The sequence below is a fragment of the Homo sapiens genome, chromosome 13 (assembly GCF_000001405.40).
Source record: "Homo sapiens chromosome 13, GRCh38.p14 Primary Assembly".
NCBI classification, from domain to species: domain Eukaryota; kingdom Metazoa; phylum Chordata; class Mammalia; order Primates; family Hominidae; genus Homo; species Homo sapiens.
Window position 1 is genome coordinate 101,422,034 of NC_000013.11, and position 10,476 is coordinate 101,432,509.

The 10,476-nt window shown below is 37.9% G+C and overlaps 1 annotated feature.

Annotated features, from left to right (window-relative positions):
- Window positions 2,425-2,719: an enhancer, noted in NCBI's record as "tiled region #15039; HepG2 Activating non-DNase unmatched - State 9:DNaseU". NCBI's record gives its function as "activates a minimal TATA promoter and a strong SV40 promoter by Sharpr-MPRA in HepG2 cells {active_cell/tissue: HepG2}" and the evidence as "EXISTENCE:reporter gene assay evidence [ECO:0000049][PMID:27701403]".

A 10,476-nucleotide genomic window follows, 5' to 3' on the forward strand; every position in this document is an offset into this window, starting at 1 on the left:
AGGCTGCAGTGAGCTGTGTTTGTGCCACAGCACTCTAGCCTGGGTGACAGAGCAAGACTCTGTCTCAAAAAAAAGATAATAGAAAAAAGAAAAAAGAAATTCCAGTGAACCATGCTGTAACACATGTGCTGCCATCTAGACTTTGTTGTGCTATTTCTAGAGCACAGGGGGAGTAGATCTAGCATAATTCTTAAGGGCTCTAGGAGTTTGGGAATGGTGAATGAGCAATGGCTTCTACTTAGTCACCAGCTGCATTAGCCCCTCACAACAGAGTTAGCCTGTCCTTTGATCTTTGAAGCCAGACACTGGCTTCTTCCCTCTAGCTATAAAAGTCCTAGATGGCATCCTCTTCCAATAGCAGGTTGTTTTGTCTACATTGAAAATCTGTCATTGAGTATAGCCACCTTCATTAGTTATCTTAGTGAGAACTTCTGGATAACTTGCTGCAGCTTCTGCATCAGCTGCTTCACCTCATATTTTTATGTTACGGAGCCAGCTTCTTTTTCTTAGACCTCATGAATCAGTCTTTGCCAGCTTCATATTTTTCTTTTGCAGCTTCCTGACCTCTCTCAGACTTCATAGAACTGAAGAGAGTTAAGGCCTTGCTCTGGATCAGGCTTTGGCTTCAGGGAATGTAGTGGCTGGTTTCATGTTCTATCCAGATTACTACAACTTTCTCCATATCAGCAAAAAGGCTGTTTTGCTTTCTTATTACTCGTGTGTTCACTGGAGTAGTACTTTTAGTTTCCTTCAAGAACTATTCTTTTGCATTCACAACTTGGCTAACTGTTTGGGGCAAGAGGCCTAGCTTTTGATCTATCTCAGCTTTTGACGTGCCTTTCTCACTAAACTTAATCATTTCTAAGTTTTGATTTAAAGAGAGAGATTTGGAACTCTTCCTTTCACTTGAACACTTAGAGGCAATTGTAGGGTTATTAATTGACATAATTTCAATATTGCCATGTTTCAGGGAATAGAGAGGTCCATGGAAAGGGAGAAAGAAGGAGGAACAGCCAGTTGGTAGAGCAGTCAGAACACATACAACATTTACTGATTAGGTTCTCTACCATGGACATGGTTCATGATGCTCCGAAACAATTACAATAGTAACATCAAAGATCACTGATTACATATTGCCATCACAGATACGATAATAATGGAAAAGTCTGAAATATTGAGAATTACCAAAATGTGACACAGAGATACAAAATGAGCACATGCAGTTGGGGAAGCAGCCCCGATAGACTTGCTTGAGGCAGGGTTGCCACAAACCTTCAATCTGTAAAAACAAAATACAATATCTGCAAAGCACAATAAAATGAGATGTGCCTGTACAGAATTCAGCCTTGGCAGAATAGATGCATTTTGATAATGGAGTGCATTGGGAAATTTAAGGCAGTTTGCCTCCCAGATCGCCCAGCAGGAAACACGATGTGGAGTGTCTCTGGGGAAAGGAAAGAGATAACAGAAGAGATGTCGCTAAGTTTTGTAGCCCCAAAGACCAATCTCACTTTGCGTAGCTCTGTCTTGGATCTTGAGGGAAGTAACAAGTGTGATAAGATTCTATTGAGGAAAGAACTGCTGGGTTGGTGGTCTTCACTTGCCAGTGATATTCTAGATGAAAAACTTGAATAAGTCTTCTTCTCGTAAGTCAGCATCTCTAAGCAACCACAAAACATTTATTCATAATTAAATATTTCAAGCTATTGAAAGACACCGCGCATCATAGCTTTTCCTTAAGGCGATGTTCCTCAAACTTCTCTGATAATAAGGATTACCTGGACCATCTTAACTATTTCCAGAGAGGTTCTCATTAAGTATCTCTGGAGTAGGAAAGGCAACTGTGGAGAATTCCTCTTTATAAAACAGACATCCTTTCCTAACAGGCCAGAGTGGACTTGCCTACTTTCCTCCCTGTCCTGCGAGTCTGTGTGCTTCAACCACCATCTGGACCAGTTCTGCAACACCTATAGACCCTGCACTTACATTGTAGCTGTGTTATCTGAAGCACTAAAAACAGGTGAGCGCAAGTAGGTGGTAAAAATCCATCTGCTGAGTCAGAGTGGAGGTCTTTGAAAGGTTGGCATATGGCCTTTAATTGTGTCATTGAAATCAGCTGTGGATGGGAGAAGCCTTAGTATACCCATCAACAGAAAATAAGGGTAAGTTCATAGAAAGATGCTATTAAACCTCAAAGAGACAGAAGCTGTGATGTTTATACTGGGCAGAAATATCTTTGGGCAAGGAATGCAATTGATTTTTCTTATGGAAAAAATAACTGCCTAATGACATCGGAGAGGTGACGGACACACTGTACTTGGAAAATCCTATGGTGGAGAAGTAGGTGTGATATTCACACTGTGCGTACTTTACAGATTAATCAAAAATATTTTCTACATCACCGTTTTGTTGTACTTTAGAATTATATTTTCAGAGGAAACTAGGTTTTAGAGAAAAAAAAACAAAAGGAAGCCTGTGAAATCAGGAGTAAACAGTAATGCCAATTAAGCACTCGTGCTGGGAGCAAAACAGAGGCCTCATTGTGTTGAGCCACAGCTGAGCCAATCGCCCAAAGGAACTGGTGGACTTCTAAAAACAAAGGTCAAGTTTCAAGTGAATCACTCAGCAACAAAATGAAGAATATTTTGACCATTTAATAAAGGCTGCTACAAGATAGGAGTAAAGCTTTGGTTCCAAAACTAACCATGAAGAACTCATTTATTGCATAAAATATCTTAGCAAATACATGATAACCAGGGGCTCAGACCCTTCAGGATTGATGGGCTGGGTCACTCCATGAGACACGAGCTGAGAGGGAGAGGGATCCAAATAAGAGAGGGGATGAGCATCATTTACTGAGTTCGGGCCAGCTGTAGCAGCACTGGCTGTTGTTCATTTCAGTAATTCTCCTCTTATACATTGCCCAGAAATCAGGACCAACAAAGATCCTGGACAAATTGTCCCTGGATGGAAAAAACTTAAAGAGAGAAGCAAGTAGATCTGAGTAGCCTGAGAAGCAAGAGCTAGACAGTGCTGGATACTACTGGCACCACACCCAGATCCTAACAGGCCAGTGCAATTATCACCCAACTTGTGTTAGGATGACTGCTAACTTCTCAGAACTGTCCCCTTCCCCAGAGAATGACCCTCTTCTGAATAGCAGATGTCTTACATGGGTCGGTATAACCCCACCCTGACGCAGGGGCAGTCTGAAGTCAGGGACAAATGGACATGTTTCTACAAAAGCTAGGCCTCTTGCCTCCAGGTGGACCAGCTCTGTGTGTCATTCTTCTCCAGAGTTCCCCAGAGGTCCAGGCTGAAGCTGAACTCCATCTCCCCATATATTTAGAAGGAGCATGCCCTGTGCAGTTTTGATTGCTCAGCAGCGTCTTCTATGTGCTGATCATGAAGTTCAATATTTTTGCATCTTAATTTTTGTTTGCTTGATTTGTAAGTTTCTGAAAAGTTTGTATTAAAATCCCCCTCTATGACTGAGGGTTTATCTTTATTTATATTTCTGTCAGTCTTGCTTTATATGATGTGAGGCGATGTTACAAAGTGCATACAAATTTAAAATTGCTATATTTTCCCAATGTAATAAAACTTTGGCCATTCCAAAGTGACTTTATATCTGGTGATATGGTTTGGATTTGTGTTCCCGCCCAAATCTCGTGTCAAATTGGAGGAGGGGCCTGGTGGGAGGTGATTAGATTATGGCCGGAGATTTCCCCCTTGCTGTTCTCGTGACAGTGAGTTATCACGAGATTTGATGCTTTAAAAGTGTGTGGCACTTCCCCTTTCGCTCTGTCTCTCTCCTGCCACCATCCGAAGAAGGTGCGTGCTTCCTTTTCGCCTCCCACCATAATTGTAAGTTTCCCGAGGCTGCCCAATCATGTTTCCTGTTAAGCCTGCAGAAGTGTGAGTCAGTTAAACCTCTTTTCTTCATGAATTACCTAGTCTCAGGTAGTTCTTTATAGCAGTGTGAGAATGAACTAATACACCTGGTAATGCTTTTTTCTTTAAAGTAATATTAGTGTAGCTGCCCCAGGTCTCTTCTGCTGTGTATTTTTCATCCTTTTTCACTTTCTATTCTTTAAACTTCTTTTTTTCCCCTATGATTTAAACTTTAACATTTTATCTTTTTACTTTCAACCTTTCTGAATCCTAATTTTTGATATACTTCTGATTGTGCATGTTTGTCTTTTGATTTAGTATTTTGATCATTTATCTGCCCAGATTTCCATTTGAGAAAACCTGCTGGTGGCAAATAGTTCCTTTTTTGTTGTTTATTTGATAATGTCGTTAATTACTAAGTCTTGAAAGATGAATTTGTCCTGATATAATAAATTCCTAGTGTAGTTTAGCATTTATATTATCTCAGCACATTGAATATAAAATACCACTTCAGCATCTTCTAACAAACTAACAAACGTTTCTATTTTTTTTGAGACGGAGTCTCGCTCCGTCGCCCAGGCTGGAGCGCAGTGACGCGATCTCGGCTCACTGCAAGCTCCGCCTCCCGGTTTCACGCCATTCTCCTGCCTCAGCCTCGGAGTAGCTGGAACTACAGGCGACCGCCACCATGCCCGGCTAATTTTTTGTATTTTTAGTAAAGACGGGGTTTCACCGTGTTAGCCAGGGTGGTCTCGATCTCCTGACCTCGTGATCCGCCCGCCTCGACCTCCCAAAGTGCTGGGATTACAGGTGTGAGCCACCGCGCCCAGCCACAAACGTTTCTATTTTTGAGAAGTCAGTGCTCAGTCTATATGTTTTTCTATTGATCTATCTTTTTATATGTGTGTATATATATATATTTACTCTTTGTGTTTGTTTTTCTGGAATTTCTCCATGATGGATTTATGTGTGGATGTCTTTTTATCTATTCTAGTTGAGATTTATTAGACTCGGAACTTATGGATTGGTATTAATTATTTCTTCTGCTTGTTCTCTCCTTCTGGGGCTCCAGTTTATGTACATTAGCCCATCACGCTTTATCCTTCATGTCTATGGATCTGTATTTCCTTTGTTCCTTTATTATGTATTCTGAATAGTTCATCTGACCTGTTTTTCAGTTCACTTATACACCTTGCTGCATCTAAAAAGCTATTAAACCAGTCTTTTCAGTTATTAATTTCAAATATTTATTTAGTTTTTGAAATGCTATTTGATTTTTTATGTGGCTAGCTGTTTTTTTATTTCCTACAGATATTTTTAGGTTGCTCTTTATTGACTTATGCTCTAAACATAATACAGTTATTTTATATTATATGTCTGGCAATTTCAAAGTCTAAATATTTTCTGGATCTGTTTTTGCAGTCTAATTTTTTCTGAAGATTCTTCATCATGGTGTCTAATTTTCTCTCTCTGTTGCTTATTTTTTCAACAAGTGGTCTCGAAAAATCTTTTACAAAATTTTTTGAGACTTAAGATGAAAATGGTTTCACTAGGGAGGATTTGTTTTAGCTTTTGTCAGACACCTAAAGACACCAACAGTCCATAGTACAAGGATGACCAAAATTCATGGCATGTGATTTTTTTTATCACCTGTGGGAAGGCATTTTGTCTAAAAATCTGTGCTAGTGCTTGCTCTTAGTTATAAATCCTTGGGGACAATGCTTCCTTATGCTCAGCTTCAAGGCAAATCTTGTCCTCTGTCTTCTCAAGTCTATGGAATCCAATGGAAGATTTATAGCTTTTTCTTTTGCTATAAACAAAAGTTTTATTTAAACTGGATAGGCAAATTCCCTTATGGTAGAAATGCCTTCAACCTCTGCTTATATTCCAGTATTCATTCTTGTTGCCTGCATTTCGCCTGATGATTGCTGACTGTCTTATCAGCTCTTGGATGCTTTTAGGAAGAATTAAAATTTTTAATATTTAGTCTAGCTTTTATAATTATATTTACCAGGAAGCTTAGCTAGAAAATCTAGACCACTTTTTCTCCAGAAACAGAAGTCACTGGACACTTCTTTGAATCTTTCACAAAATACTTGAGTAGATGTTTTCACCTCCTTGCTGCCACATGAACTATGGGGCATGCTTCTACCTTAGGGCCTTTGCACCTAGCCTTTCCTATAAAGTACTCTTCCCTCAGAAATCTTTTGAGCTCACTTGATCCTTCACTTGTTTGGGCTGTTTTTCAATTTTTATTTCAGAATTGGGGAACATGTGAGGGTTTGTTACAAAGGTATATTGCATGATGCTGAGGTTTGGAGTACAAATGTATCTGCCACCAAGGTAGTGAGTATAGCACTCTATAGGTAGTTTTGTTTTGTTTTGTTTTGAGACTGAGCCTCACTCTGTTACCCAGGCTGGAGTGCAGTGGCGCGATCTCAGCTCACTGCATCCTCCACCTCCCGGATTCAAGCAATTCTCGTGCCTCAGGCTCCCAAGTAGCTGGAACACAGGCGTGGGCCACCATGCCTGGCTAATTTTTGTATCTTTAGTAGAGATGGGATTTCACTATGTTGGCCAGGCTGGTCTTGAACTCCTGATCTCAGGTGTTCCACCCACCTCAGCCTCCCAAAGTACAGGGATTACAGATGTGAGCCACTGTGCTCAGCCTCTACAAGTAGTTTTTTCCAACCCTTATCCCCCTCCCTCCCTCCCTCCTCCCTCTTGTATTCCCCAGTGTCTATTGTTCCCATCTTTATGTCCGTGTGTACCCAATGTTTAGCTCCCACTTGTAAGTGTGAACATGCAGTTTTCTGTTTTGGTTTCTTGTTTCTGCATTAGTTCACTTAAGTCCTTCGCTTCCTGTATATTAACTTCCCAGTCAAACCTTCACTGTCTACCCCATCTAAAATGCCATCACCCCAATCCATATTTCTTATTTTTTCATTTAAAACAATCTTTACTCCTTAGTTCTTTTAGATACCCAACATTCTCTATATTTTACTTATCTTGCCCATTGTCCACACCACTGAAATAGAAGGTTCATCAGGGCAGGGGTTTTGTTTGTTTCACCCATTTGCTCTATCCTTAACACCTAGAACAGTGCTTAGCACATACTAGGCATTTAAAAATATGTATTGAATGAATAATGGAACAACTGCAGTCTTGGATCCTGTCTTTTAAGGACATAGACTAGTGTTTTAGAAATGCAGGACTGATGTAGCACAATTGAATTATTATGGAAATGTTGGAATAGCAAATTAGAATTACAGCTAAAAATAAATAAATTGCTAAACTTTGGGTCTGGCAAATAAGGGCATCTGTCAATAGTTTAAACAGGAGAGCAACCAATCATGCAAGTCAGTTGTAGAAGAGAGTGTACCTTGCACTGGAAGAAGAAAGCATAAACAGTACAAAGCATATTATTTCAGAGGATTTGTTCTCTACTCCCATAGTTTTACTTTTTAAAATTTAAAATATATGCTCTTTGAGAGTAGGGATTTCTGTCAGTTTAGTTCACTGCTATATTCTCTCCCTCAAAAGAGATCTTGTATATGCTGTGTGCAATAGTTACTTTTTGAATATGTGATATTATGAATATTGACATTGACATTATTGTTGAGTAAATTAAATTATACATATGATTATGACATGAATATAGCCATAGCTTACTCAGCAAGTCTTTTAGTGAGATGGTCAATAGAAACCCATGATTCAACTGGATATCTTGATAGGCCACCTGGAATTAAGTCTTCAATGAACAATGTTTATAGAAAAGCGGATTTTGGTGTCAAAGCAAAAGCTACTGCAGAAATAAGCATCTCTTTTGTACATAAGTCTCTGCCTATCTACCAGGGTAGTTTAGAGGTATTGCCTATAAGTCACTTGTAGCAAAAGGTATGCTCTGTGCATATATAGATGGAGCCACTAGTAGTCCAGCCTTTCTGTGAAGAAAACAGCACCCTCTATTATGGGGTGACTCAACACATATCAGGGATTATGGCTTGGAGAAAATATAGCAAGGCCTGGATTTCAGCCCCATGCATTCCCTCAGCCAGGTGTCTGTGCAAAGCATGACTTGCACAATCCGATATAGTGAGCTCATGTGTGGATGGCTTTCCAGAATGTTAGTTTGCATGTCTACTAGCGGTGCACCGTGAGCCTGCCTCACCCATCCTCTTCAGTGTTATAGTCTATAGTCTTTCCAGTTGAAATGATGAAAAATCATATCTCATTGTTTTGTTATTTTACCTTTTCTTGCTTACCTGGTGAGTTTGACTTTTGAACTACGTTTTTATGTATTTCTTGTTTTTATGACCTTTTTCTACAATTTGCTTATTTTGTTGGAAAACTAACATTTTATTATCAATTTATAAAATTTGATAAGATATATGTTGCTATATATATGTGTGAATGTGTACGCATTTATACATATACACAAATTATGTATATGAAGACATATATGTTGCTATTATTTTGCCAAGCTTATTATAATACATAGAAGAATATACTTTTTCTCTTCAGTGGTTCTAACAGTTGTAGACTTTTAGTGAAAAACTGTGTTCAAAGTCTTAAATTAGGAATTGTTAATAATTTTTTTCATAAATTTTATAAATATTTCTCCCATTTAGTATAGGTTTTACTTTTTTTGTGATGTATCAAAAGTTCAGTAAACTCTGTTAGCCTTTTCCTTTGTGGTTTTTCCCTTTGTTTTTATGCTATTAACATGTATCAATATATTTATATTTATAAATCTATATCTAGCTTTGTTCCATTTAGAATTTAGAGTTTGGTATCAACTGAAGACTTAGGTCATTTTATTTTGAAAAAAATAGCTGTCCAAATATTTCATCATAACCATTAATGTTTACTGTATTTAGAATATAAGGTTCAATTTTGATTTATCTTTTCTGTGATATGATGTAAATGTTAACTCTTGCACAAAATTTATTCCATTTTTAGTATCTTCCCCATAAAATGCACTTAAATAGTTAAAAGAAAAAGTCTTATTTGCCAACTGCCACTATTACAGTTCTTTTCTATTATGTATTAGTCATATTGTAATTATTTCTGCAAATTAATTTTGGAAAACCATTTTATGCCATCCACAAAAGTAACATGTTAAGATTTTTAGTGACATTTCATTAAGCATTTGAGTTACCCTGTGAGTAACTGACATCTTTGTTATTGTCTAGGAAGATGGCATAGCCCTTTTCATTGAGTTCTAATTTGATAGTTCGCATTAAATTTATGTATTTTCTCTTATAAAGGCTCCATACATTTCATGCAGAAGTCATTCTTAAAAGTTTTAAATATTTGGGTAACCATTGGCTCTGTGATTTTCCCTATTTATATCCAAATTTGTTATTGCCCTACATAGATAAAATATCTAGTTTTGTACATTTATCTTGTATTTGGCTACATTTCTGAACTCTTAAGAATTCTAAAAGTATTTAGTTCCTTCTGGATTCATGTATGTTGCTATTACTTTGCCAAGCTTCATGTGAGGCATAAAAGAAGATACACTTTCTTTTCTCTTGAATGGTTTTAACATTGGTCTACCTCTAATGAAAAACTATTTCCCAGACCATAGGCTTGCCTGAGGTTTGCATGAACCTGGGGATGTGGAATGATTGGCAGAAACCATATTAACCAGCTTCATATCCATTATAATTTCAACCAATGAGTACCACAGAGTGAGTTATGGTGAATCACTTCCACAGAAGAAATTTCCTGAGAGATTTCAATCCTGTTATATATGAAAATTGTCAGAAGTAAACAGCACTAGGTCAAAAAAGTTTTCAACTTATGTCAGCTCTTTTAGCGCATACATGAGACGTATTTTGTTCATTTCTGTATCCCTAGAACCTAGAACAGGACTAGAAAATAGTAGAATTCAACATCTATTTCTTTATTGCTGTTGAATATAAATTTGGAGAAGTCAAATTGCCTATAGGAGAAAAATAACCTGATACTGACAAATCTATAGGCTTTGGAGTGTCGGCAGCGTCTACTAGTGTGTATTTAGAGGGAATTTTTGAGATGACTCAAGATTTTGAGTGGCATTTTATTAAGCATTTGAATTACTTTGTAACTGACATCTTTGTTATTGTCTAGAAGAATGGCATAGCCCTTTTCATTGAAGTCTAATTTGATAGTTTGCATTATATTGATGTATTTTCTCTTATGTGGGTTTCATACATTTCATGCAGAAGTCATTCTTAAAGAGTTTTGAATAAGACTCTTATCCAAAATTCCCTCTAAAAACACGTTAGTAGACATTGGTGGTTGTCTGACCAATTAGTTCTCTCTCCCCTTGGCCATGTGCTCAGGGCAAGGGCCAATCACCAACTCAAATGAACAGCCATGTTAATGCTGTTTCCGCCTTCAGTAGTTGTGTTAGGCATAGGCATATGACATAATTTTGTTCAACAAGGCTTGTGAGGTAGAGGGATCAGACCTTCTGAGAAAGATCTTTTTCATTCTTAAAAAGGAACGTTAAGTCAGAGACATGCTTTACTTCCCAGAGGATATTCTGAGTGAGTTTTATGAGTTGGTGAGGTTTAGACTGGACACAGCCAT